The sequence below is a fragment of the Homo sapiens genome, chromosome 10 (genome assembly GCF_000001405.40).
Source record: "Homo sapiens chromosome 10, GRCh38.p14 Primary Assembly".
Classification (NCBI taxonomy): Eukaryota; Metazoa; Chordata; class Mammalia; order Primates; family Hominidae; genus Homo; species Homo sapiens.
In genome coordinates this window covers 68,391,637-68,418,782 of record NC_000010.11, presented here as the reverse complement: position 1 = coordinate 68,418,782, position 27,146 = coordinate 68,391,637, and the positions used below count along the sequence as shown (strand labels likewise).

The 27,146-nt window shown below is 42.5% G+C and overlaps 2 protein-coding genes across 30 annotated transcripts in view, besides 7 other annotated features; both read left to right on the top strand.

Moving 5' to 3' along the window:
- Positions 1-4,719, top strand: part of DNA2 (DNA replication helicase/nuclease 2) — a 58,458-nt gene extending 53,739 nt beyond the window's left edge. For all 5 annotated transcript variants that reach the window (NR_102264.2, XM_006717680.3, NM_001080449.3 and 2 more), the window contains 2 exons: positions 1,928-2,074; positions 3,676-4,719. Coding sequence is in view for 4 of the 5 variants with exons in the window: in XM_006717680.3 (XP_006717743.1) it covers positions 1,928-2,074; positions 3,676-3,744 (216 nt within the window). In the remaining variant the exon portion in view is untranslated. The remainder of the gene's footprint in view (positions 1-1,927; positions 2,075-3,675) is intronic.
- Positions 2,464-2,633: an enhancer, noted in NCBI's record as "experimental_16643 CRE fragment used in MPRA reporter constructs". NCBI's record gives its function as "activates a minimal promoter by MPRAs in K562 erythroleukemia cells, with activity observed for both the introgressed and non-introgressed 10:70175992 variant alleles {active_cell/tissue: K562}" and the evidence as "EXISTENCE:reporter gene assay evidence [ECO:0000049][PMID:34662402]".
- Positions 3,571-3,740: an enhancer, noted in NCBI's record as "experimental_16635 CRE fragment used in MPRA reporter constructs". NCBI's record gives its function as "activates a minimal promoter by MPRAs in K562 erythroleukemia cells, with activity observed for both the introgressed and non-introgressed 10:70174885 variant alleles {active_cell/tissue: K562}" and the evidence as "EXISTENCE:reporter gene assay evidence [ECO:0000049][PMID:34662402]".
- Positions 11,346-11,795: a silencer, noted in NCBI's record as "silent region_2419". NCBI's record gives its function as "represses an Ori minimal core promoter by ATAC-STARR-seq in GM12878 lymphoblastoid cells {active_cell/tissue: GM12878}" and the evidence as "EXISTENCE:reporter gene assay evidence [ECO:0000049][PMID:35858748]".
- Positions 11,346-11,847: a biological region, named in NCBI's record as "H3K27ac hESC enhancer GRCh37_chr10:70166693-70167192".
- Positions 11,348-11,847: an enhancer, noted in NCBI's record as "H3K27ac hESC enhancer chr10:70166693-70167192 (GRCh37/hg19 assembly coordinates)". NCBI's record gives its function as "activates a minimal SCP1, AML or CMV promoter by ChIP-STARR-seq in naive H9 embryonic stem cells {active_cell/tissue: H9 hESC(naive)}" and the evidence as "EXISTENCE:reporter gene assay evidence [ECO:0000049][PMID:30033119]".
- The window catches only part of RUFY2 (RUN and FYVE domain containing 2), a 66,166-nt gene continuing 50,525 nt past the window's right edge, over positions 11,506-27,146 (top strand). For 7 of the 25 annotated variants that reach the window (XM_005269956.5, NM_017987.5, XM_047425456.1 and 4 more), the window contains exons 1-7: positions 11,506-12,029; positions 13,939-14,112; positions 17,046-17,163; positions 21,902-22,003; positions 24,332-24,455; positions 24,647-24,708; positions 25,580-25,645. In XM_005269956.5, coding sequence (XP_005270013.1) covers positions 11,921-12,029; positions 13,939-14,112; positions 17,046-17,163; positions 21,902-22,003; positions 24,332-24,455; positions 24,647-24,708; positions 25,580-25,645 — 755 coding nt within the window. In that variant the 5' untranslated portion in view covers positions 11,506-11,920. Of the gene's footprint in view, positions 12,963-13,317; positions 13,339-13,938; positions 14,113-17,045; positions 17,164-21,901; positions 22,004-24,331; positions 24,456-24,646; positions 24,709-25,579; positions 25,646-27,146 lie in introns of those variants that run through there. The other 18 variants (NR_103476.2, XM_047425446.1, NM_001330103.2 and 15 more) reach the window with 9 other exon arrangements.
- Positions 11,848-12,349: an enhancer, noted in NCBI's record as "H3K27ac hESC enhancer chr10:70166191-70166692 (GRCh37/hg19 assembly coordinates)". NCBI's record gives its function as "activates a minimal SCP1, AML or CMV promoter by ChIP-STARR-seq in naive and primed H9 embryonic stem cells {active_cell/tissue: H9 hESC(naive and primed)}" and the evidence as "EXISTENCE:reporter gene assay evidence [ECO:0000049][PMID:30033119]".
- Positions 16,274-16,474: a silencer, noted in NCBI's record as "peak994 fragment used in MPRA reporter construct". NCBI's record gives its function as "represses an SCP1 promoter by STARR-seq MPRAs in K562 erythroleukemia cells {active_cell/tissue: K562}" and the evidence as "EXISTENCE:reporter gene assay evidence [ECO:0000049][PMID:32103011]".

The following is a 27,146-nucleotide window of genomic DNA, read 5'->3' as shown; positions in this document are numbered from 1 at the left end:
GAGAATTGCTTGAACCCAGGAGGTGGAGGTTGCAGTGAGCCGAGATCGTACCATTGACTCCAGCCTGGGCGACAGAGCAAGACTCTGTCTCAAAAAAAAAAAAAAAAAAAAAATTGCGGTTTAACATTGAGAACATGTGGACACAGAGAGGGGAACAACATACACCATGGCCTTTAGCGGGTTGGGGGTGAGGGGCGGGAACCTGGTGGATGGGTCAACAGGTGCAGCAAACCGCCATGGCACATGTCTACCTATGTAACAAAACTGCACGTTCTGCAGATGTATTCTGGTTTTTTTTTTTTTTAAAGAAAATAAAATTGTGGTTTAAAAGAACACATAAAACATACATCTTACTTTTTTTTTTTTTTTTTGAGACGGCGTTTCCTCTTGTTGCCCAGGCTGGCATGCAGTAGTGCGATCTCGGCTCACTGCAACCTTCGCCTCCCAGGTTCAAGTGACTCTTCCGTCTCAGCCTCCCAAATAGCTGGGATTACAGGCATCGCCATCTTGCCCGGCTAATTTTTGTACTTTTCTAGAGATGGGGTTTCACCATCTTGTCCAGGCTGGTCTCGAACTCCTGACCTCAGATGATCCACCTGCCTTGGCCTCCCAAAGTGCTGGGATTCCAGGCGTGAGCCACTGTGCCCAGCCCATCTTACCATTTTTAGGTGTACAGTTTAATTAGTGTTGAGTGCATTCACAGTGTTGTTCAACAGATCTCTGGAACTTTTTCATTTTCAAATCTAAAACTCTGTATTCATGATTAACCACCCATTTTCTTCTTCCCCAGCACCTGTAACCACCATTCTACATTCTATCTCTGAATTTGACTAATCTAAGTACCTCATATAAGTAGAATCGTACAGCATTTATCTTTTTGTGACTACCTTATTTCACTTAGCCAGCTAGTTCATCCTGTTGTAGTATGCGACAGGATTTCCTTCCTTTTTAAGACTGAATAATATTCCATTGTCTCTATATACCACATTTTATTTATCCATTCATCTGTCAGATGGAATGGTTGCTTCCACCCCTTGGCTGTTGTAATTGAGGCCTGTTTAATATAAAATCTTCCTTGTATACTTTCAAATTTATAGACAATTCAGATTTGATTTTTTTTTTTTTTTTTTGAGATGAGATCTGGCTCTGTTACCCAGACTGGAGTGCAATGGCACAATCTCGGCTCACTGTAATATCCACCTCCCTGGTTCAGTGATTCTCCCATCTCAGCCTCCTGAGTAGCTGGGATTACAGGCATGCGCCACCATACCCAGTTAAGTTTTGTATTTTTTGCAGAGAGCCATGTTGCCCGGGCTTATGGGCAACTCCCGAGCTCTAGCAATCCTCCCACCTTGTCCTCCCAAATAGTGTTTTTTTTTTTTTTTTTTTTTGGTTTTCTTATTTTTACCTCTCCTTAGTTCATTTTTCTCAACTGTATAATACATCCATATGGTTTTAAAATATACGTAATAAAAGGTTTCCTTTGTACTCCATCCCTCATCTACTCAGTTCTTACCTCAGATAGTCTCCTTTTTTTTTTTTTGAGAGGCTAGGTCAGAGTGTGGAGGCATGGTTATGGCTCACTGCATCCTTGACTTCTGGGCTCAAGCAGCCCTGGCTCAGTGATCCTTTCATCTCAGCCTCCTGAGTAGCTGGGACCGTAGGTGCACACCACCACGCCTGGCTGATTTTTGTATATTTTGTAGAGATGGGGTCTCACTGTGTTGCACGGGCTGGTCTTGAACTTCTGGTCTCCAGTGATCCACCTGCCTCGGCCTCCCAAAGTACTGGGATTACAGGCATGAGCCACTACACCTGGCCTCATTCTATTCTTAAATTTGCACAGGTGTCCATTGTGTAGGGATGTGTTGTAATATATTTAACCATTCCTTTGAACTTGAATAATTGAAAATTATATTTCTTACAGGTTGGTGAACTCTTGAAAGATTGGCGACGTCTTAATGTTGCTATAACCAGAGCCAAACATAAACTGATTCTTCTGGGGTGTGTGCCCTCACTAAATTGCTATCCTCCTTTGGAGAAGCTGCTTAATCATTTAAACTCAGAAAAATTAATATCCTTTTTCTTCTGTATATGGTCACATTTGATTGCACTGTTGTGAGTATTTATTTGCTTGTTTAAATTAAAGCTCTCACTATGTTGCTTAAGCTGGTCTTGAACTCCTGGGCTCAAGCGATCCTCCTGTGTAGGCCTCCCAAAGTGCTGTGATTACAGATGTGAGCCACGGCCCCCAGCCTATAACCCTTTTTTAATCCAGAACAAATGATTAGATTAAAATGGAGTATTATTTATTTTATATACAGGGCCTTGCTTTGTCACCCAGGCTGCAGTGCAGTGATATGATCAGAGCTCACTGCACCCTCAATCTCCCAGGCTAAAGTGATCTTCCTACCTCAGCCTCCCCAGTAGCTGGGCCCACAGGTGCATTCCACCATGCCCAGCTAATTTTTGTATTTTTTTGTAAAGACAGGGTTTCACCATGTTGCCCAGGCTGGTTTTGAACACCTGGGCTCAAGTGATTCACTCGCCTCCTCCCAAAGTGCTGGGACTACAGGTGTCAGCCACCACATTCAGCCTTTTTTTCCCCCAAGAAGTGGTGCCTAACTTCACTCAGGCTGGAGTGTAGTGGCAGGATCACTGCTCACTACAGCCTTGACCTGGACTCAAATAGTCGTCCCACCTTACCTTTCTGAGTATCTGGGACCACAGGTACGTACCACCACGCTTGGCTAATTTTTTAAAATTTTTAATAGAGAGGAGGTGAGCCACTGCACCTGGCCTTAAGATAAATCGTTTTTTAAAAATGTGTATGGGCTGGGCCTGGTGGCTCACACCTGTAATCCTAGCACTTTGGGAGGCTGAAGCAGGTGGATTGCGAGGTTGAGATTGAGACCATCCTGGCTAACATGGTGAAACCCCGTCTCTACTAAAAATACAAAAATTAGCTGGGCATGGTGACGTGTGCCTGTAGTTCCAGCTACTCATGATGCTGAGGCAGGAGAATCGCTTGCACCCGGGAGGCGGAGGTTGTAGTGAGCCGAGATCTAGCCTGGTGGCAGAGCGAGACTCCGTCTCAAAAAACAAAACAAAACAAAACAAAAAAAACAGTGTATGAAGTTCTTAGGCTTCATAAGAACTTCATACTTCTTATGAAGGTATGAAGTAGGCTAAGATAAATAACTCTGAGGCTGGGCGTGGTGGCTCACGCTTGTAATCCCAGCACTTTGGGAGGCTGAGACAGGCGGACTACCTGAGGTTGGGAGTTCGAGACCAGCCTGACCAGCATGGAGAAACCCTGTCTCTACTAAAAATACAAAATTAGCCGGGCATGGTGGCACATGCCTGTAATCCCAGCTACTCGGGAGGCTGAGGCAGGAGAATCTCTTGAACCCAGGAGGCAGAGGTTGCGGTGAGCTGAGATCGCACCATTGCACTCCAGCCTGGGTAACAAGAGTGAAACTCCATCTCAGAAAAAAAAAAAAAAAAGATAAATAACTCCTGTTGCTTAAAGGCATAATTATTCATTGAATGCCATAAAGATCCTTATTTTTTTTTTGTGGTCCTGTAAGTCAAATTACAAAATGTTAAATAATAATGTCATAAATTTATGCCATTCCATATTGTGCTAAATATTTCTTCCTTAATTTATTTTACATCATTGATCTTCCATCAAGAGAACATGAAAGTCTTTGCCACATATTGGGTGACTTTCAAAGAGAATAAAACACTATTTCCCTTGCCTTTTCATACTAGGGCAGTATCTCCTCTAGCTAGTGCCCATACAGAAAATTCTATCACCATACAAAATTTAATGCAGTATTTATGTTTTAAAGCACAGGTGTACCGAAAACTGTGAAAAGTCTGAATTTATGGGTTCTATGCATGCATTTTTGCCTAACCTAGAGAAAGAGTTTGATAAATTTTTACCAGCTTTGAAGATGGATTAACTTTTGACTTTGAGCTTTAAACTTTTAAGTCAGACATTTCAGGACTAATTTGATTTTGTAGATATCATTGTAAGAACTTTATTTGAAAGACTGAATAAAGGGATTTGATTTGTTTTCATCATTTAAGCACAGTCTTGTGATGATGAGAACATAAGTGTGATTCTTTTCTGTATTTTGAGGTCCCTAATCCAAAGCCCATTTTGCTAGGATTTTTTCTGCTATCAGATGTGTTTTCACTCTAAACCTAGTCTTTTATGACATGAATTGATTACTTCCTGTTAATTTTCTATCCTCCCTTACTATCCTCCTTTTTTGTTTTCAGTATTCAGTATTTCAGTATTCTAGAGTAGATTTTGATATAAAAGAAAATAATTCTTACATCATCTTTTGCAACAAATTTTGTTTTCTGAATTGATAATAAATTTAAAAAGTTGATTCCTATTTTCACATATGTTCATATGCCCCTATGTTTGGGGGTATCACTCAGTTTTCCCTTTTTTGTGTAAAGATGTTTTGTAAAACAAAATTGTCTCAAAGTGATTATATTATATATATAAAAAGTAACAGATTTTAACAAAGGTTAAAAGATTCTTGGGGTAACAGATTCTTCTGGGGCTTGGAAATCTTCCATTTCTCTTGAGGGTTTTTTTTAATGAGTGTTAAATATGTTAAAATTTTTATTTCTACCTCATGTGTTTTTTTAAATTATTACTTGAAGTTTTTTATTTAATAAATTTTTTCTACTAATGGATCTTAACTGTGTCAATTATTATTAATACTGAATAATAATTAAACTCAGGGTTATCTAGCATGTTTTGTTTTTTTTTTTTTTGAGACGGAGTCGCCCAGGCTGGAGTGCAGTGGTGCGATCTTGGCTCACTGCAAGCTCTGCCTCCCGGGTTCACGCCATTCTCCTACCTCAGCCTCCCGAGTAGCTGGGACTACAGGTGCCCGCCACCACGCCTAGCTAATTTTTTTTTTTGTATTTTTAGTAGAGACGGGGTTTCACCATGTTAGCCAGGATGGTCTCCATCTCCTGACCTCGTGATCCACCCACCTCGGCCTCCCAAAGTGCTGGGATTACAGGCGTGAGCCACCGCGCCCGGCCGCATGTTTTCTGATAGTGACAAGTGAAGTATTGATCATGCTAGAAAGCTGAAACCAAGCAGCATTGATATTATAAAGAGATTTATGAAGGGCACACAGGATGGGCTTGATCATGGAGAGGGGTTATAGATTAGATAGGACAAACGGGAAAGGTTGCTGTGATGAACTTAAATATTGGTTAGATATAATGAGAGTATAAATCAGGAAGGAATCTGATGGTAATTTTAGTTCCTGGGAATGAAATGAATAAGAAAGTCCTTTTGCTTCATTACAGGTTTGTATGGCCTGAAAAGTAAAGCTCCATAGAAGAGAACCTGGGGATGTGTTCTGTGTTTCCTTTTTTTTTTTTTTTTTTTTGGATCTGTCTTGGTGATGAGTCTAGCCATTTAATTGTTTAAAAGAGTTAGGAAGCTCGGCATGGTGGCTCATGCCTGTATTCCCAGCACTTTGGGAGGCTGAGGCAGGTGGATTACCTGAGGTCAGGAGCTCGAGACCAGCCTGGCCAACATGGTGAAACCCTGTCTCTACTAATAATACAAAAAAATTAGCCGGGTGTGGTGGCCGGCGCTTGTAATCCCAGCTACTCAGGAGGCTCAGGCAGGAGAATCGCTTGAACCTGGGAGGCGGAGGTTGCAGTGAGCTGAGATTGTGCCACTGCACTCCAGCCTGGATGACAAGAGCAAGACTCCATCTCAAAACAACAACAACAACAACAAAAAAGTATAAAGCCACGATGCGAAGACAATGTGGCTGTTCCAGTGGCCCCTCTCCTGAATCAGTTCAGAGTTCCTCTCCTCTTCCCCCTGACTTCCCTCTTGCTGCCTGCCATCTCTGATTCCTTTCTTTTCTCCCTATTCCTGGCTGTCTAATGGCAGGCTTTCCCCAGAGCTCCAAGTCTGGTTTGGTCCTCTTTCTCCTTGGACAGTCACTGGCTTCACCCATCACCCATGTGGCTGTTTACTCAACCTGTACTACACCCTGTCTTCCAAGTTCTAGTTATATAGCTGCTTTCCAGCCAATGCCTTCAGAATATTCTGTGAACATTTTAGACTTAGTACAAAGAAATTGGAAATTTCCATCTTCATTTAATGCCTTCCTCCTGTGATCCCTATTTCTGTAAATGACATCATCTCACAGTTCACTGAGCTTAAAGATCTTGGCATAATTTTTCTTTCTTTAAAACATTTTTGGCCGGGCGCGGTGGCTCACGCCTGTAATCCCAGCACTTTGGGAGGCCGAGGCGGGCGGATCACGAGGTCAGGAGATCGAGACCATCCCGGCTAAAACGGTGAAACCCCGTCTCTACTAAAAATACAAAAAATTAGCCGGGCGTAGTGGCGGGCGCCTGTAGTCCCAGCTACTTGGGAGGCTGAGGCAGGAGAATGGCGTGAACCCGGGAGGCGGAGCTTGCAGTGAGCCGAGATCCCGCCACTGCACTCCAGCCTGGGCGACAGAGCGAGACTCCGTCTCAAAAAAAAAAAAACAAAAAACATTTTTGGCCTGGGCACGGTGGCTTATGCCTGTAATCCCAGCACTTTGGGAGGCCGAGGCGGGTGGATCAACTGAGGTCAGGAGTTCGAGACCAGCCTGGCCAACATGGTGAAACCCCATCTCTACTAAAAATACAAAAATTAGCCAGGTGTGGTGGCGGGCGCCTGTAATCCCAGCTACTAGGTAGGCTGAGGTAGGAGAATCACTTGAACCCGGGAGGCGGAGGTTGCAGTGAGCCGAGATCACGCCATTGCACTCCAGCCTGGGCAAGAAGAGTGAAACTCCATCTCAAAAAAAAAAACAAAAAAACAAAAAAACACCAAAACATTTTTCCCCCTGTAATTACAGAGCAGTACATGATTTTAGTAAGAAGTTCAAACACTACATATTTTAGAAAATGAAATTTCTGGTTTTTTTTTTTTGTTTTTTTTTTTTGAGATGGAGTCTAGCTCTGTTGCCCAGGCTGGAGTGCAGTGGCAAAATCTCAGCTCATTGCAACCTCCACCTCCCAGGTTCAAGTGATTCTCCTGCCTCAGACTCCTGAGTAGCTGGGATTACAGGCACCTGCCACCACGCCCAGCTAATTTTTGTATTTTTAGTCGAGTTGACGTTTCACTGTGTTGGCCAGGCTGGTCTCGAACTTCTGACCTCATGATCCGCCCACCTCGGCCTCCCAAGGTGATGGGATTACAAGCATAAGCCACCGTGCCTGGCCAGAAAATGAAATTTATTTGTAATTTCATCCTTTAGTAATTACATAGTTTGGTCTATGATGATCTAGGCTAGTATTTAAACCAAAATTACCACATCCACAATAAGAAATCCATTTTACATCATGACTCAATGTAGATTTGTGTATGAATATGCATCTGAAACAATACTGTCATAAAACAATATTTACCCTTTCTGTATATGATATACCCTGATTTGTTCCACTCTATTCCATTAAAAACAAAGCGTGGCCGGGCGCGGTGGCTCATGCCTGTAATAACAGCACTTTGCGAGGTTGAGGTGGGTGGATCACTTGAGGTCAGGAGTTCGAGACCAGCCTGGCCAACATGGTAAAACCCCGTCTCTACTAAAAATAGAAAAGTTAGCTGGGCATGGTGGTGCATGCCTGTAATCCCAGCTACTTGGGAAGCTGAGGCACAAGAATCGCTTGAATCCAATTCAAGCAGGTGGAGGTGGAGGTTGCACTGAGCCAAGATCATGCCATTGCACTCCAGCCTGGGTGACAGAGCGAGACTCTGTCTCAAATAAAATAAAATAAAAAATAAATAAAAACAAAGCTAATTGCAACCTGTTAAAATTGCTTTCAGGTGCCACTAGTAGGTCGGAACCCATGGTTTGTAATAGTGATTATTCTTTAATGGCATCTTTGTGTATTTGTTGTAACCATATGAAACTATTTTTGTTGTTCCTGTGCATGCCTATTCTGTTTCCCATTTGATCTACTCTCTAGATTTGTCTGTTCCTCTGTCACCATTTAGGCATCTCTACCCACTTAGACTTTAAGATGCCACCTTCTCCAAAAAGCCTTTTCTGATTTTTCTCCCAGCCAAAAGAATTATCTTCATCTTTATACAGTACTATAACAGTACCTATATGGAGCTTCATAGCATTTACTGCTTTTATTTTTAATTTTTTTTAAGAGATGGAGTCTCTGTTGGCCAGGCTAGAGTGCATGGCAGGATCATAGCTCACTGCAACCTCAAATTCCTGGCCTCAAGCGGTCCTTCTGTCACAGCCTCCTGAGTAGGTAGGACTACCGGTGCACACCACTACACCCAGCTAACTAACTAAAAAAAATTTGTTTTTAGAAACAGGGTCTTGCTATGTTGGCCAGGCTAGTCTGGAACTTCAGGCCTCACGCAATCCTCCTCTCTCAGCCTCTTGAAAGTACTTGGATTACAGGCATGAGTTACCACATCTGGCTGTTTACTGCCTTTTTTTTTTTTTTTTTTTTTTTTGAGATGGAGTCTTGCTTTGTTGCCCAGGCTGGAGTGCAGTGGTGAGATCTTGGATCACTGTAGCCTCTGCCTCCTGCGTGCCAGCGATTCTCCTGCCTCAGCCTTCCAGGTAGCTGGGATTACAGGCACGCGCCACCACGCCTGGCTAATTTTTGTATTTATTTTTAGTAGAGATGAGGTTTCACCATGTTAGCCAGACTGGTCTTGAACTCCTGACTGGGTGATCCTCCCACCTTGGCCTCCCAAAGTGCTGGGATTACAGGCGTGGGCCACTGCACCTGGCCTGTTTACTGCTTTTTTAAAGTAGCAGTTGTAATTAGTAGGATACTTTAATATTTATCAATATTTTTCATGGATATTTTCCCAATTGAATTAAACCCTATAGAGAACCTATCATAGATAGTCTGTGTTAGCATGTGACCCATGGCAAGTCATTGCCAGAACCCACGTTTTCTGATTAGGAATTCTGCAATTTTCCTGGCCATTATGTGTATCTCCTTTTCCCCCCAGCGTGGTAACATTTTCCAGGTGCTATACAAATGTTCAGAAGCATTACAGTTGTCATTATAAGAAAATCATGTCTTGAGCCAGCTAAAGCTATGGCTGAAAGCTCTGTGGTATGATGTGACAAGCTGGTCCACCTGGATTCAGTGGACTATATTGCTCATGAAAAAGATGACTTGTAGGCTGGGTACAGTGGCTCATGCCTGTAATCCCAGCACTTTGGAAGGTTGAGTTAGGAGGATCACTAGAGACCAGGAGTTTGAGACCAGCCTGGGCAACATAGTGAGACCTCATCTCTACAAAAAATAAAATAAAAATTAATGGTAGCTAAATGATAACTCATGAACACAAAGAAGGGAAAAGCAAGACCAGGTGCAGTTGCTCATGCCTGTAATCCCAACACTTTGGGAGGCTGAGGAAGATAGATCACTTGAGCTGAGGAGTTCGAGACCATCCTGGCCAACATGGTGAAACCCTGTCTTAAAAAAAGAAAAAAAAAAAGAAGGGAACAACAGACACTGGAGTCTACTTGAAGGTGGAGGATGGGAGGAGGGAGAGGAGCAGAAAAGATAACCATCGGATACTGGACTTAACTGGGTGATGAAATAATCTGTACAACAAACCCCCATGACATGAGTTCACCTATGCAACCAACCTTCACATGTACCCTCAAACCTAAAATAAAAGCCTAAACAAACACACACACACACACACACACAATAGTTTAGGGAAAAAAGTAATCACAATGCCCCCACCCACACATCATAACTATTAACATTTTCATGTACTTTACTCAGTCTCTTACCTATGCATTTATTTTTCTAACTATGTATATATATCTATATATAGATATATAGATATACCTTCATATTGCTGTATTTATTGATAAACTAAAACTGGGATCATAAGTATATGTCATATATATGTAACTTTTTTTAAAAAATTAAGCACAAAAATACAAATGTTAGCTGGGTGTGGCAATGAGCGCCTGTGGTCCCAGCTACTAGGGAGGCTGAGGTGGGAGGATCACTTGAGCCTGGGAGGCAGAGGTTGCAGTGAGCTGAGATCGCGCCACTGCACTCCAGCATGAGTGACAGAGTGAGACCCTGTCTGAAAAAAATAAAAAATCTCTTCTAGCTAATAGGATATGCCTATCTAATTCCACTTGAGTCACTACTGGCCCTTACGATGACTAGGGCTCATAATCCTGGGAAATGTGAACCAAGATGGATCCAGGGATGAAGTCTGACTTTTTTTTTTTTTTTTTTGAGACGGAATCTTGGGATTACAGGCACGCGCCACCACGCCCGGCTAATTTTTGTATTTTTAGTAGATATGAGGTTTCACCATGTTAGCCAGACTGGTCTCGAACTTCTGACCGGGTGATCCGCCCGCCTTGGCCTCCCGAGTAGCTGGGACTACAGGAACATGCCACTACGTCTGCCTAAATTTTGTATTTTTAGTAGAGACGGAGTTTCACCATGTTGGTCAGGCTGGTCTCGAACTCCTGACCTCGTGATCTATCCAGCTCAGCCTCTCAAAGTGCTGGGATTACAGGCATGAGCCACCATACCCAGCCGAGGTCTGAATTTTAGTGCTTGTGTGGATATTGCTGTGGCACATAATGAAATATTTTTGAATTGTTTTCTCTCTTTTTTCACTTTAGCTTTTTGTAATGAGCTTTACCAAATTGTTTTAGGGCGGGCTGTGTGGCTCAGGCGTTATCCTAGCACTTTGGGAGGTCGAGATGGGCGGATCACCAGGTGAAGAGATCGAGACCACCCTGGCCAACATGGTGAAACCCCGTCTTTACTAAAAATACAAAAATTAGCCGGGCGGGGTGGCGCGCGCCTGTCATCCCAGCTACTCAGGAGGCTGAGGCAGGAGAATCCCTTGAACCCGGGAGGCAGAGTTTGCAGTGAGCCAAGATCACGCCACTGCACTCCAGCCTGGTGACAGAGCGAGACTCCATCTCAAAAAAAAAAAAAAAAAAACAACCCAAAAAACAAAAAAAAGTCGTAATTTGGGACTAACTAGTTTTATTAGGTTTCTGCCTACTGTTAATTGCTTCAGATTTTCTAAATTCTTTTGGTCCCCTTTGTGTTTGTGAAGGTGAATGGGCAGTAGTCAGGCGTGTTAGATCAGGCCCCACCAGCCCGGTGGAAGCAACGTTTGCGTGTGGCCGGCCGCCCCTTGAAATCCGGCCTTCGCGCTCCAGCGAAGCCCCCGGGACACGGGACCGAGGGCCCAGCACTCTGGCTCCTCACACATGTGGTCTCCTTCACGTTCCTTTCCTTCTCCTCGCGGTCCCAGCGGATGCGAGGAGGCTTAGAGACGGCGGGCTTCTCTCCCGCCCGCCGCAGGGTCCGCGGGTCCCCGCCCCGCCCGGGGCGCCGCTCCCCCTGGGGCCGCCCGGGCGCCCTCCCGCCGCCGGGGGCGCTGTGGGCTGCAGCGGGCCTGGCTGCAGATGCGGTGGTGGCCGCCGAGCGCCTGGAAGGAGCTGCTGGACAGGCCGAGGGAGCCTCCGCCCGAGACCGCGCAGCCGCCGCCGCCATGGGTAAGGCGAGCGGGCCGAAACCGAACGCTAGGCCCTCAGTCCCGGGCTGAGGGCCGCGGCCAGGCGGGGTGGACTGGGAGCTGGGGGAGACGCCGAGGCCGCCAGTCGGAACTGGGGCCCGAACCCAGGATGGGCGGGGACTGCCTGGGACTCGGGGGCTCCCGGGGTCGTCATGGCAACGCGCCCCCTCCCTTGTTCCGGCCCGTTCCCGCCCGGGTTCTGAGGCATAGTGGCCGAGGGCTCGAGGTGCCACGGCGTCCAGGAGCGAGGACAGGGCCAGGCAGGGTGTCACTCCCGGGTCGGGGAGCAGGCGGGGAGGGGCGATGACTTTTCAGGTTTGGGGGTGGCGGAGGGAAGACGCATCTCAGGTTTTGGCCTGGGTGCCTGACGCCGAGGGCGGGAGACGGGGAATGCTGACGCGCAGGAGCCTGGGTGAGCCCGCCGCGATGGTCCTGGGGGGCCCCCAGGCCTCTGGGCAGCCTTGCTGGGGGGAGGGGGCAGGAAGAGAGGCAGGGAAGGGGCTCTAGGCCCCGGCAAGGTGCGGGCACTGGCCCTGGTACTCCTTGCGCGCCTGCGGCCGGGTTTGGGGGTCGCGTACGGGCCGGAGAAGTCCTGTAGCGCAGCCGGGGCGTGGCCGCGGTGTGAACGCCCCTCGGCGTGGGAACTGCCGGTGCCCAGCACCGATCTGCCTCCCAGCAGCTGCAAAACACCCTTTGTGTGGTTGTCGCATCGCACGTTAGGAATTATGATGGGCTGTGTTAAAAATGAGAGTTGCCACGGATTATGAAACATGAAGTGGTTTCACTCCCGAAAAATAGTGGGAGTCAGACCACGATGCAGATTTGAAGGAATTCGTGTGTGGACATTTTTCCACCAGGCAGTTTGGCCATAGCAGTTGTGGCTGTTTGCATTTTAGGTTGCTTAGGATTCAGTGTCAGGCTTCATGCCTAGCTATCTAGAAATCGGAGCTGGAATACTAGATCATTGGAGACTCTGGGTTTTTTGTTGTTGTTGTTGTTCAGTGAAGGAAAAACGGGCACATTGATTACTTGTAAATTTGTCAGAGATTATGAAATGTTATACTAAGTGCTTCGTTTTTCCACACCTTAGTTTTGTCATCTGTGTTTGTTGAAGGTATTCCCACCAGTCACAACAGTGATGAGATGATGGGGAAGCGTCTGAATTTCTAAGTAAACTGAGAATAAAATTTGCGGGAAGGAGGACAATATTTTTGTGAATTGAAAATATCTTACTTGATGATACTGTGTCTTAAAAATATCAATTAAAAATCAGGCCTTTTAGAATTTGCATCTATTAACTTGGTATTCAGACTGGCGCTGTGGGCATCCTCAACTGTGTGGATGGGTGAGGAACATTAATGTAAAACTGGTCTCTGCTTTTATTTTCTCTTTGAAAATAAAACAGTCATGCAATACAGAACTACAGTCAGAATGAAGAAGCCAGACAGAAAGAGGGTAGACGAAAGAATTGGACGGCTTCTTCTGTGTCCCCTTGTCAGTGTATTTTACCTGTCATGTTTGTTGTGGATGACACTGGAATCCTAGAATTTTAACTACCTTTTATTTTATTGCCAGTTTATTCTGAACATTTTTGCCTTGGAATTCATCCTAAGACCGTACCTGCTATCTACCTTTTGCATGAGGCCCTTAAACCTGTTGTCTCTCACCCCAAATTTATCTCCATAGAAGATCATTTTAAAAAACTCATTCTCTATGAAGAGGTACCAGGAAAGTTAAATACAGGAGAATGGCAGATTTGCAGGATCTTGAGAATAATTCATTAACTTTGGCTGGAGTGGTCATGGAAATTTTCTTTTTTCTTTCTTTCTTTCTTTTTCTTTTTTTTTTTTTTGTGAGACGGAGATTCGCTCTGTCACCAGATTGGAGTGCAGTGGCGCTATCTCAGCTCACTGCAATCTCCGCCTCCTGGGTTCAAGTGACTCTCCTGCTTCAGCCTCCCGAGTAGCTGGGACTACAGCCGCGCACCACCATGCCCAGCTAATTTTTGTATTTTTAGTAGAGACGGGGTTTCACCATGTTGGCCAGGATGGTCTCAATCTCTTGACCTCATGATCCACCCGCCTTGGCCTCCCAAAGTGCTGGGATTACAGGCGTGAGCCACCGCGCCTGGCCGGAAATTTTTTACAGTATATGTGAGAGATGTAAAGAGAAGTTAATCAAGGGTGTGGTTTAGCTGGGGAGAATTTGTCAACCAAGGAACAGCAAACTACTGTTGGTTTTTATAGGGGAAGGGAATGGTTTGTATATTTTTCATTGTCATGTCTTACAAATGATGTTGGATTCCTTTCTTGTGTTTTCAGCTACAAAAGACCCCACAGCTGTAGAGAGAGCAAACTTGTTAAACATGGCTAAACTGAGTATCAAAGGACTCATTGAATCTGCTCTGAGCTTTGGCCGCACTTTGGATTCTGACTATCCCCCCTTGCAGCAATTCTTTGTTGTTATGGAACATTGCCTGAAACACGGTCTTAAAGGTATCATGAGATTTTAAAAAATTAATTCATTTTAGAATTTCCGTTTTTCAAGTGCCCTTGAGAATGGGTTATTTTTTGAGGCCATAATTACGTTACTGTGCACTAAAAAATATTGAGTGGATTGATTTTGGGAGAAAATATCTTATGACTATGTTTTCTAATAATGGAATAATAAATGGTCTTCAGAAAATGCTTAATTGTTAATATTTTGTAAACAGAATATTTGATTTTTTAATTTTTTAAACACATAATCTGAATTATTTTGTTTTCTAGGACAATTATAGAGTTATTTTTTAAAGCTGGTGATACTGTTATGAGCTCATATTAATAGTTCGAACCCTGTTGAACAACTGCATTGAAATAGTGGATTGTTGAAATAGAAACCTCCTAGATATATACACGAACATATGTAGAAATATCTTCTGGATGGAGTTATTGTAGAAATGTGAGCCATCCCTGAAGATGATAACAGCAGATATTGTACTCCACTCTCAGTACATATTGAATTATTGTTACATATAAAATGTTGGTTTTATATTTAATTTAAAAATATTCATTGCATAATAACTGTGCTTTTACTTATAATAACTGTTCACAGTTTTGGCCTCTAGTTCATACGATGAGTATCTATGTAGAGGGCTATGTAAGAGTTGTACACTAGAGTGACTATTATAGAGTAAAAGAAGCTTGACTGGCCAGACACGGTGGCTTAATGCCTGTAATCCCAGCATATGCCTGTGGTCCCAGCTGTTCGAGAGGCTGAAGTGGGAGGATCACCTTAGCCTGAGGAGGTCGAGGCTTCAGTGAACTCTGAGTGTAGCACTGTACTCCAGCCTGGACAACAGAGAGAGACCCTTTCTCAAAAAAAAAAAAAAAAGATTCAAAGATTTACCTAAACTTTGTTTTAATAAAAAGTACTTCAAAACAAGAAGGAAGCCTTGACATCAAAATTTGAGAAATCCTGTGTGATGTTATTAGCATACTCATTTCTTTTTCTTTAGAGACTTAAAGCAATTTCTTAAAATGTATAAATACTAGCGAAAGATACTCTTTTTGTACATAAACAACAGAGAAGTACACAGAGCAAAACATGGTTTTTATTCATTCTCTTCTATTAACCTCTCTAAAGGAAATTGGGCACCTGTAATCCCAGCACTTTGGGAGGCTGAGGTGGGTGGGTCACTTTGAGGTCAGGAGTTCAAGACCAACCTGGCCAGCATGGTGAAAACCCATCTCTACTAAAAATACAAAAATTAGCCAGGCTGGTGGTGTTCGCCTGTAATCCCAGCTACTCAGGAGGCTGAGGCAGGAGAATTGTTTGAACCTGGGAGGCGGAGGTTGCAGTGAGCTGAGATCGTGCCACTGCATTCCAGCCCAGGGTGACAGAGTGAGACTCTGTCTCAAAAGAAAGAAAATGGGAGAATTAGATATTCTGTTATCCCTTTTCTGTTTTTTTTTTCTTTAACTGTAATTGTAATCATGCTATTAGCATTATTCTGTGACTTCCTTCTTTAAAAAAAAAAGTGGCTGGGTGCGATGGCTCATGTCTGTAATCTCAGGACTTTGGGAGGCTGAGACTGACGGATCACTTGAGGTCAGGAGTTCGAGATCAGCCTGGCCAGCATAGTGAAACCCCATCTCTACTAAAAATACAAAAATTAGCTGGGTGTGGTGCTGCATGCCTGTAGTCCCAGCTACTTGGGAGGCTGACGCAGGAGAATTGTTTGAACCTGGGAGGCAGAGGGTGCAGTGAGCTGAGATCATGCCACTGCACTCCAGTCTGGGAGACACAGAGTGAGACTCTGTCTCAAAAAAAAAAAAAAAAAAAAAAGATATGGCTTGGAGATCTTTCCATTTACATAGACATCTGTATCAGAATTAATAGCTGTGCGATATTTTATGGTATGTATATGGCATAATTTAACCATGCTCCTCTTTTTTTTTTTGAGATGGGGGTCTCACTCTGGAGTGAGACTTGATTTTCAAAAAATCAGGAGTGCATCTTGATTTCAGAAAAAATCAGGAGTGCATCTTGATTTTCCCCAAGACTGCTGAAATGGAGTTTGCCAAATTATGGCCAAAATAGTTAAATTTTAAACTATTTTTAGACTGTATTTCCTTTACTTCACAACTTATGTTGAACCATGTCCTAGCAGTTATAGGCTTATCTGGATGAATCATTATAAAGCTACTTTGTGCGTGTGCTTTTCTCCCCCTGGGAAAAATTGCCTATCTTGGGTGTCCTTGGGTAGTGTATATGATAGGCACCCTGTATTTGCAGGAGATCTGGTCAGTAATAACAAAAATGTATGGCAATTTCATGGTTTTATATTGACCAAATCTCAGAATAAAATACAAGGAAAAGGAAATTCACAATTTTTCATATTTAAAATTAAAATAACTTCTTAGGCTGGGCGTGGTGGTTCATGCCTGTAATCCCAGCCAGCACTTTGGGAGGCCAAGATAGGAGGAACGCTTGAGGCCAGGAATTCAAGACCAGCCTGGTCAACATAGCAAAATGCCATCTCTACTTACTAAAAAAAAAAAAGGCATTATAAAAAATAAAATAACTTTTTATTTGTGCTTGGTTTGTTTAATAAACTTATAAAGATCAATCAGCTAGGGCCACCAGCCTTTATTTTGGTATTGGTAGAGAATGAGTGCAGTCATTTTTCACTTTAATTACCTTACTGCATATTTGATATGAAAGAATGGTCACTGTGTCTTTTTATCATGTGGAAAAAAATAGCAGGATGGGCAACAGGATCCTACTGGCACAGGCTCCAGATCCACTGGGATATGTAGTGGATAAAAGAGGAAAGATCTCTGAATAATTGTATGTTAAGTTAGAAATGTTGAAACTAAATATTTAAAAATAAGTTACTACAGTTTTTTATGTTGACATTGTGTGCATTATGTGTTCTTTTTTTCAGTAAGAAAATCATTTTTGAGTTACAACAAAACCATCTGGGGCCCTTTGGAACTGGTGGAGAAGCTGTACCCCGAAGCAGAGGAAATAGGAGCTAGTGTCCGGGATCTACCTGGTCTGAAGTAAGGAGGCCTATTACTTGTTCATCCCTAGCCACAGAAGTGTATTCATTGTTCCTCCAAAGTACCTCACACTCTAGCTTATTGTCTTCTCTTAGTCTTAAGTCCCCTTCTTCTAATCCTCTTATAATAAAATTATGTTCATTCTTTATGGCTCAACTCAAATCCCATTTCCTTTATGAAGTTTTTCTTAGCCTCTTCGATCAAAATTAACCACTCACCATTCTGCCTTGTATTGTAGGAAATTGAAAGTCCTTTTAAGATAGGATATATCAGTTATGCATCTTTGTTTTCTGAGTGTTAAATTAGTTTGCCTGTAGTAGAAAGTCAGTAAGTATTGAGGAAAGACTGATTTAGGCTGAATCCAGGGCACAGGCTCAGGATATTCCAGTTCTCAGATAAGCCAGTTGTATACCCTAGGACTGGTGTACATTTCTTTGCTTCCTCTGAAAATTGGTACCTATAATGTCACCAGCCTGTTTCATCAGACAAATGTATGTAAAATGTCTTAAAAGTTGGAGTATGTTAGCTAAGAATACTTTCATGAGTATTTAAAATTTTTTGTAGGTGTAAAGTGTTAAGACTCAGTTCTTAAATTCTTTTTTTCTTTGAGACGGAGTCTCGCTCTGTCGCCCAGGCTGGAGTGCAGTGGCACGATCTCGGCTCACTGCAAGCTCCACCTCCCGGGTTCACCCCATTCTCCTGCCTCAGCCTCCCGAGTAGCTGGGACTACAGGCGCCCGCCACCACGCCCGGCTAATTTTTTTGTATTTTTAGTAGAGATCGGGTTTCACCATGTTAGCTAGAATGGTCTCGATCTCCTGACCTCGTGATCCGCCTGCCTCAGCCTCCTAAAGTGCTGGGATTACAGGCGTGAGCCACCGCGCCAAGCCTATATTCTTTTTTTTTTTAGTTTTCTTTTTAATTTTTATTTTCTTTATTTTTTTTGAGATGGAGTCTTGCTGTGTTGCCCAGGCTGGAGTGTAGTGGTGCGATTTCAGCTCACTGCAACCTCCGCCTCATGGGTTCAAGCAACTTTCCTGCCTCAGCCTCCCGAGTAGCTGGGATTACAGGTGCATGCCACCATGCCTGGCTGATTTTTTGTATTTTTAGTAGAGACGGGGTTTCACCATGTTAGCCAGGATGGTCTTGATCTCCTGACCTTGTGATCCGCCCGCCTTGGCCTCCCAAAGTGCTGGGATTACAGGCGTGAGCCACCGTGCCTGACCAGTTCTTATATTCTTTAGAGTGTAATTAAAATGTAAGTGTTCTCTTTTGTTTGTCTTTGTTTATTTTATTTTATTTTGAGACGGACAGTCTCACCCTGTTGCCCAGACTGGAGTGCAGTGGTGCAATCTCGGCTCACTGCAACCTCTGCCTCCCAGGTTCAAGTGATTCTCGTGCCTCAGCCTCCCAAGTAGCTGGGATTACAGGCATGTGCCACCATCCATACCTGGCTAATTTTCGTATTTTTAGTAGAGATGGGGGTTTTGCCATATTGACCAGGCTGGTCTTGAACTCCTGTCCTCAATAGTGATGGAATTGGCCCAGCGCAGTGGCTCAGGCCTGTAATCCCAGCACTTTGGGAGGCCGAGGTGGGCGGATCACCTGAGGTTGGGAGTTCGAGACCAGCCTGACCAAAATGGAGAAAGCCTGTCTTTACTAAAAATACAAAATTAGCCGGTGTGGTGGCACATGCCTGTAATCCCAGCTACTTGGGAGGCTGAGGCAGGAGAATTGCTTGAACCCGGGAGGCAGAGGTTGCAGTGAGCTGAGATCACGCCATTGCACTCAAGCCTGGGCAATAAGAGAGAAACTCTGTCTCAAAAAAAGTGCTGGTATTACAGGCGTGAGCCACAGCGCCCAGCCTCCCTTTAGTTTATCTTAATTCTTGTTAATGAGATAACTTTTTTTGCATTAAGCATTTTCTGTAAGGTTAATCGTTTGTTTTCTCATAGTTTTACAACTTAGGGTTTATATATGTTGTGGGGAATATGGTAGTGTTTTGCTGTTATTTTGTTGTTGAATGTTCAAATGTTCAAATGTTTGTAAATTGGAATTTATTGAGTGATAAAAGTAAGTGGCTACTGTTGAGCACTGTGTTAGAGTAATAAGGTACCTGTTTTACATGAATTATCTCCTTTAGTGCTTAAATCAGTCTTACAGGTAGAGGTTATTATTATAATTGTATAGATGTGAAAAATAAATGCCAGATAAATTATAGTTAAAAAGTGGCAGAGGCAGGATTTAAACCCAGTTTTTAGAGTTAAATATAAAGTGGCTGGGTGTGGTGGCTCACGCCTATAATCCCAGAACTTTGGAGGCTGAGATGGGTGGATTGCCTGAGCCCAAGAGTTCGAGACCAGCCTGGGCAACATGGCGAAACCACATGTCTACTAAAAATACAAAAAAATTAGCTGGGTGTGGTGGTGCACGCCTATAGTCCCAGCTACTCGGGAGGCTGAGGCAGGATAATTGCTTGAACCCAGGAGGCAGAAGTTGCAGTGAGCCAAGGTCGTATCACTACACTCCAGCCTGGGTGACAGAGTGAGACTTTGTCTCCCCCACCAAAAAAAATTGGAAAAAAAAAAAAATCAAATGATATTTGTTCACAATTGATATTTTTGGTATATCAGGTGTAAAGATTTTTAACAAAGAGGAAAAACAGAATTTCAACTCTCAAAAACAAAAATGTAAGATTTGATTCATTTTAATATGAAAATATGTATTCATATTTTGTTAAAAAGCCAGACTCTACAATAGTAAAACCTGTTTTCTGATGGTGTTCATTAAAATGCTAAGCTATAAGAAATGCGTTAATTATTAGAAGTGAAGATCAAGTCTCTTCCTGTACTATCTGCCAAAATGTTCTCTGCATAAGAAAATATAAAAGTGTGAATGATACCACTCTCTTTAAAAAAAAAAAGTGGTATAAAAGTTGCTTTTTAAAAAAATTATTATTATATTTTATGGAGACTGAGTCTGTCTCTGTTGCCCAGGCTGGAGTGCAGTGGCGGGATCTTGGCTCGTTGCAACCTCCACCTCCTGGGTTCAAGCGATTCTCCTGCCTCCGCCTCTCGAGTAGCTGGGATTACGGGCTCATGCCACTGTGCCTGGCTAATTTTTGTATTTTTAGTGGAGACGGGGTTTCACCATGTTGGCCAGGCTGGTCATGAACTCCTGACCTCAAGTGATCCACCCGCCTTGGCCTCCCAAAGTGCTGGGATTACAGGCGTGAGCCACCACGCCAGGCCACTTTTATTTTTAATAACAGATAGAACTTGGGTAAGAGAGGTATGAGATTTAATTTCTTAAATGCAACCAAATTAAAGAAACATTTGAAAACCAGTAAGCAGCACAGTGATTTCTCTTTAATTACTAGCCTGGCACCCTCTTAGCTTTGTTATGATTTTTAAAATTCAGATATAATGTTACCTATGTTTTTGAAGGCATTATGGTGCCTTATTGTAGAATTTTTTTTTTTTTTTTTTTTTTTTGAGAACAAATCTTACCTTGTTGCCCAGGCTGGAGTGCGATGGTGCAATCTTGCCTGACTGTACCCTCCGCCTCCCGGGTTCCAGTGATTCTCCTGCCTCAGCCTCCTGAATAGCTGGGATTACAGACACCCACCACCAAGCCCAGCTATTTTTTGTGTTTTTAGTAGAGACGGGGTTTCACCATGTTGGCTAGGCTTCTTTCGAACTCCTGACCTTGTGATCCGCTCGCCTCGGCCTCCCAAAGTGCTGGGATTACAGGTGTAAGCCACTGGGCCCGGCCTGGTGAAGTTTTAATATTTATTTTTAGAGGGCTAAGCTCATTCAGACTAAATATTTCTTTTTTTTTTCTGAGACAGGGTCTCACTCTATCACCCAGGCTTGAGTACAGTGATGCAATCACTGTTCACTGCAGCCTCTGCCTACTGGGCTTAAGCAACCTCCTGTCTCAGCCTCCTGAGTAGCTGGGAATACAGGCACATGCCACCACACCTGGCATTTTGATTTTTTTTCACTTTTTTAATTTTTTTTATTTTTAAATTTAATTAATTTATTTTTTTTATATAGAGACAGGGTCTCCCTATGTTGTCCAGGCTGTTCTCTAACTCCTGGATTCAAGTGATCCTCCCACCTTGACCTCTCAAAGTGTAGGGATGACAGGTGTCAGCCACCGTGCCCACCTAAATATTTCTTATAGAAGTATTCTCACCAGAGTCCTGGGCTGCATAACATTTCATTAAATGATGGTGGTTCCAAAAGATTATAATACTGTATTTTGACTTTACCATTTCCATGTTTAGCTGTGTTTAGATACACAAATAGTTAACAATTGGTTAATAATTGCCTACAGCATTCAGTACAGTAGCATGCTATATAGGTTTACAGCCTAGGAACAATAGGGTATACTATATAGCATAGGTGTGTATACCATCTAGGTTTGCAAATGTACACTCCATGATGAAATTACCTAACAACGCATTTTTCTGAAAGTATCATTAAGTGACACACTACTGTGTTTAGAGAGTCATTTCTTCCAAGACATTAAATAGTACCTGGATGTCCTACAGGAGGAACAGATTTACCCAGCTCTCAGGGATTGGTTTGTGTGCTCAAAAAGATAAACCTATAAAAATGAAAACAAAACCATTATAAAAATGCCCTTTTTCCTTGTTAATGTTTACCTCTAGAGACAGAAGATGTGATCTTTGGGCTAGGGCTGTTTTCTGATCAATTGGTTCTTCTCTTTAGGACCCCTCTGGGTCGAGCAAGAGCGTGGCTTCGATTAGCCCTCATGCAAAAAAAAATGGCCGATTACTTACGTTGCTTAATTATTCAGAGGGATCTCTTGAGGTTAGTACTATTAAGTCGTGATCTTTTCATTTTTTATTTTATTTATATGCTGTCTTCCAAAAAGGATTTAAGATGTAATATGAAAGGATATATAACATATAATAAAATGATATAAAATAAGAGGAGGAGCAAAATGAGACAGAAAAACATGATAGAGACATAACATGGATCAGGAACTAGCCTTACATATGAATACCATAAGCTTTGTTATCAGCCAGGATGGGGAAATTTATATATATTACATTTCTTCCTCTTTGTTTAAAAATTTTTTCTTTTGCCCTGCCTGGAAACTGCCGTATATAATACATTTCTGTTAGTTTTATTTTTCTGAATATGGTTAATTCTATGGATAAAAATTTGTGTTGGAATTTGTGGCTTTAATTTCATAGGCTTTTTGTTTTTTGTTTTTTTTTTTAGAATTTGAATATCCATATTATTGCTTCACCTGTATTGTGGGCACAGTTTAAATTGAAGTCCAAACATTTATTTTGGCTGGGTGTGGTGGCTCACGCCTGTAATCCCAGCACTGTGGGAGGCCGAGGCAGGTGGATCACTTGAGGTCAGGAGTTCGAGACCAACGTGGTGAAACCCCGTCTCTACTAAAAACACAAAAATTAGCTGGGTGTGGTGGCGCATGCCTGTAATCTCAGCTACTTGGGAGGCTGAGGCAGGAGAATCACATGAACCCGGTAGAGGGAGGTTGCAGTGACCTGAGATCGCGCCACTGCACTCCAGCCTGGGTGATAAGAGTGAGACCCTGTCTCAAAAAAATAAAATAAAACGAAGGCCAAACATTTATTTAAGACAGATTTTCAAAGCAAGGCAATCAGTTCTCCAAGGGAGTGGGCCCATGGTGGTCCTCCATTCATTCTTGTTCTGTTAGAGTGCCTCTCTGATGTTGTGGAGAATTTAGTCCTGGTTTTGGTTTTACTTGTGATGCTGGTTTTACATTGTGGTTTTCCCAGTTGTTAAACGAGAATGACCATATGTTAAGCACCCATGGCTTCTCAATATTCTGAAGGATAATTAAAGTGATTAAATAATGTACATGGGCCTTATTAAAGAAGGCATGAGACAGTGATAACTACTTCTCTGAATGTATGTTGGTGAGACTTAGTTTTTGAACTGTCCTATTTCTTTCACAACTCTCTTTTTCAACAGTTTTTAGAATGTAGATATCCCAAAGTGTCTTTAATTGATGATTATCTATTAAGATTTATAATATACCTATCAAATGCATTGACTTGAACATGGACTTTGAAATGTTGCATATGTTCATTTTCTACCTTAGTCTTTATCCCAAGGGTCTTAATAAATCCGAGGATTGAAAATTCAACTCTAATAAAATATATCATAATCAGATCAGCAGCAGTCACTATATCCATCTGAGTCAGAAACGTCCCAGGGCTCAGTGTTGCCTCTTTTTTTTTTTTTATTTTCTTGAGATGGAGTCTTGTTCTGTTGCCCAGGCTGGAGTGCAGTGGTGCGATCTTGGCTCACTGCAACCTCTGCCTCCTGGGTTCAGGCAATTCTCCTGTCTCAGCCTCCCGAGTAGGTGGAATTACAGGCGTGTGCCACCACGCCTGGCTAATTTTTGTAGTTTTAGTAGAGATGAGGTTTCACCATGTTGGCCAGGTTGCTCTTGAACTCCTGACTTCAAGTGATCCTCCCGCCTTGGCCTCCCAAAGTGCTGGGATTACAGGCGTGAGCCACCGTGTCTCGTGCCACTTTTTCTTTTCATCCCTCCTTGCTCCTCTTTTCTCTCTCTCAAAAAAAATTTCCCTCTTTTATCTCCTTCAGTCCTTTTGATTTTTCAATAGAGACATTTAAATTTAAAAAATATGAAAAGTTGGCTAGGCGCGGTGGCTCACGCCTGTAATCCCAGCACTTTGGGATGCTGAGGCCCGCGGACCATGAGGTCAGGAGATCGAGACTATCTTGGCTAACACGGTGAAACCCCGTCTCTACTAAAAATACAAAAAATTAGCCGGGTGCGGTGGCGGGCACCTGTAGTCCCAGCTACTCAGGAGGCTGAGGCAGGAAAATGGTGTGAACCCGGGAGGCAGAGCTTGCAGTGAGCCAAGATAGTGCCACTGCAGTCCGGCCTGGGTGAAAGAGCAAGACTTCGTCTCAAAAAAAAAAAATTAATAAATAAAAAATAAAAAATATAAAAAGTTATTCACACGTATAAAGGCTAATTTGAAGGCACCTAACTGAGATGGCTTCCATTTCTGTAAGGTAGAAGATTAGGAAGATAATGGTGATTTTAAATTTTAGTTTTTGAAATAAATTTGTGATTTAAAGTCCTTATTTTTTAAATTTTCACAGTGAGTTTTATGAGTATCACGCACTAATGATGGAAGAAGAAGGAGCAGTAATTGTTGGGCTGCTGGTTGGCCTGAATGTGATCGATGCTAATCTGTGTGTGAAGGGAGAGGATTTAGACTCACAAGTAAGTGAAAGTGACTAGTGCCAAATGCAGAGTGTTTTCAGTTTGCACAGTTCCTCCTTGATCAGGTGTCATTTGAAGTTGTAAACAGGACTGTTAAACACTAAAGGAATATTAAGAGTAACATTCAGTAAAGGTACTTCTGATAAAGTATTTTCTCCCCTTTAAATTAAAAAAAACTTTATTTACTTCAGGTTGGAGTGATTGATTTTTCTATGTATTTAAAGAATGAAGAAGATATTGGAAATAAAGAAAGGTATGATTTTCATAAGTTATTTCACATATTGGGTTTTTTATATAGCTCTTTACAAATCATTATAAGATCCATCTATTTACAGTGTGGTTTTATTTTGTTGTTTTCCCCCCTGTGACTTCTTCATTTCATTTTCACTTCCATTACAAGCTTTACAAAGCAGATTATGGAAAATCACTTAGGAGAAGGAGGTTTTATTAATAGTATGAAGTGGGACCTTTGGTTATACCTGTAGTTACTGAGACCCATTTTAATAGTGGTTTTTTGGAATAAAAGAGATGAAAGCTTATTATTCACAAGTTTGCAAATACTGGTTTACTTCAAGATCGAACTATGTTTTTTTTTTTTTGAGACACAGTCTTGCTCTGTTGCCCAGGCTGGAGTGCAGTGGTTCTATCTTGGCTCACTGCAACCTCCGCCTCCTGGGTTCAAGCGATTCTTCTGCCTCAGTCTCCCCAGTAGCTGGAATTACAGGCACCCGCCACCATGCCTGGCTAATTTTTGTTATTTTTAGTAGAGACAGGGTTTCACCACGTTGGCCAGACTGGTTTTGAACTCCTGGACTCAAGTGACCTGCCTGCCTCGGCCTCCCAGAGTGCTGGGATTACAGGAATGAGCCACTGTGCCCGGCCCTAATTATGTTTAAATTTAAAAATACACTAATGGTATTGTTAAGTGTATTATTAGCAAGTAATTTATTCAACAAAGGTTATAGATACTTAGTACACAGTTTACTATTATTCTTATGTTTTATTTTAAAGGCAAGACAATGTTTTATTATTTTAGTTTTATAATAATTTTAGATGATTTAGATTTTTTTGTGCTTAATAAATACCTTTTCAACTAGCACAAAGCTACTTTTTTCCTCATTTAGGAATGTTCAAATTGCTGCCATATTAGACCAAAAGAATTATGTTGAAGAATTAAATAGACAACTGAAGTAAGTATTATGGATACTTAGCACATTTATGAATATTGTCTTAGGTTTTTGTTTTTTTCCCTTCAGCTTACCGTATTCCTTTCTTCTAAGAGTCTTTGAGAAGGGGTTGAGGGGATAGAGAGAAAATGGAAAGTAAGAATACAGAGAATTATTGGAGATAATTCATTTTAAGCAGAAAATGAGAGTCAGAATTTTTTTTTTTTTTTTTTTTGAGATGAAGTCTCACTCTGTTGCCAGGCTGGAGTGCAGTGGCATGATCCCAGCTCACTGCAACCTCCGCCTCCCAGGTTCAAGTGATTCCCCTGCCTCAGCCTCCTGAGTAGCTGGGACTATAGGCGCGCACCACCACACCTAATTTTTTTTTTTTTTTTTGTATTTTAGTAGAGACGGGGTTTCACCACGTTGGCCAGGATGGTCTCAATCTCCTGACCCTGTGATCTGCCCGCCTTGGCCTCCCAAAGTGCTGAGATTACAGGCGTGAACCACCACGCCTGGCCCGAGAGTCAGGTTTTTAATACAGAATCTTCATCAGATTTAAATAGAACTTAAAACTTATTGCTGTACCCTTGACAAAAAAGGCTAAGGTAAAAGTTTGTATCAGTTTGATGGTTCAGAAATTCATTTTTCCTACTTCAAAGGGCTTCATATGTAAATGTGGCTGTCTGTCATCTTCTGTGGTGGAAATTTTTGCTTTCTTACATTGTCAACTGGTCATTGAAGCCATCAGTGAATACTCTTGTTGAGAAGAATTTTTGAGACCTGTATGTAAAATAGCAAAGTGCAATTCTAATAGAAATATATGAGATGTGGCCAGGCGCAGTGGCTCATGCCTGTAATTCCACTTTGGAAGGCCGAGGCGGGTGGATCACCTGAGGTAAGGAGTTTGAGACCAGCCTGCCCAGTATGGTGAAACCTTGTCTCTACTAAAAAAAACAAAAATTAGCCAGGGGTGGTGGCGGTCACCTGTAATCCCAGCTACTCGGGAGGATGAGGCAGGAGAATCACTTGAACCCAGGAGGTGGAGGTTGCAGTGAGTCGAGATCGTGCCATTGCACTGCAGCTTGGGCAACAAAAGTGAAATGTGAAACTCCGTCTCAAAAAAAAAAAAGAAAAGAAAGAAATATATGAGATGCATAGTTTTTTTGTTTGTTTGTTTGTTTGTTTGTTTTTTTGAGACAGAGTCTCACTCTGTTGCCCAGGCTGGAGTGCAATGGCACCGTCTCAGCTCACTGCAACCTCTGCCTGCCCCCAGGGTTCTAGCGATTCTCCTACCTCAGCCTCCCGAGTAGCTGGGATTACAGGTGCCCACCACCACGCACAGTTAATTTTTTTGTATTCTTAGTAGAAACGGGGTTTCACCATGTTGACCAGGCTGGTCTCGAACTCTTGACCTCAGGTGATCCACTTGCCTCTGCCTCCCAAAGTCCTAGGATTACAGGCGTGAGCCACCACACCTGGCCTTTTTTTTTTTTTTTTTTTTTTTTGAGACAGGGTCTCACTC